Below are 554 nucleotides of genomic sequence, written 5' to 3'. Positions count from 1 at the left end.
TCAGACTCTAAGAGAGGGTTCTTGGATCTTGCACAAGAAAGAATTTGAGGCGAATCCATAAGGTGAAAGCAAGTTTATTAGGAAAGTAAAGGAATAAAGAATGGCTAATCCATAGGCAGGGCAGCCCCGAGGGCTGCTGGTTGCGCATTTTTGTGGTTATTTCTTGATGATATGCTAAACAAGGGGTGGATTATTCATGCATCCTCTTTTTAGACCATATAGGGTAACTTCCTGACGTTGCCATAGCCACTGGTGGGCAGTGAGGACAATCAGGTCGTTCTCATCGCTATCTCGGTTTTAGTCGGCTTCTTTACTGCAACCTGTTTTATCAGCAAGGTCTTTATGACCTGTATCTTGTGCCAGCCTCATGTCTCATCCTGTGACTACGAATGCCTTAACCTCCAGGGAATGCTGCCCAGCAGGTCTCAGCCTTATTTTAACCAGCCCCTACTCAAGATAGAGTTGCCCTGGTTCAACCGCCTCTGACAGTGGAAGACGTAGCAATGAGGACAGCCAGAAGTCACTCTCATTGCCATCTTGGTTTTGGTGGGTTT

This window comes from Homo sapiens, chromosome 12 (assembly GCF_000001405.40).
Source record: "Homo sapiens chromosome 12, GRCh38.p14 Primary Assembly".
In the NCBI taxonomy this organism is placed as follows: Eukaryota; Metazoa; Chordata; class Mammalia; order Primates; family Hominidae; genus Homo; species Homo sapiens.
Note: the sequence above shows the minus strand (reverse complement) of the source record.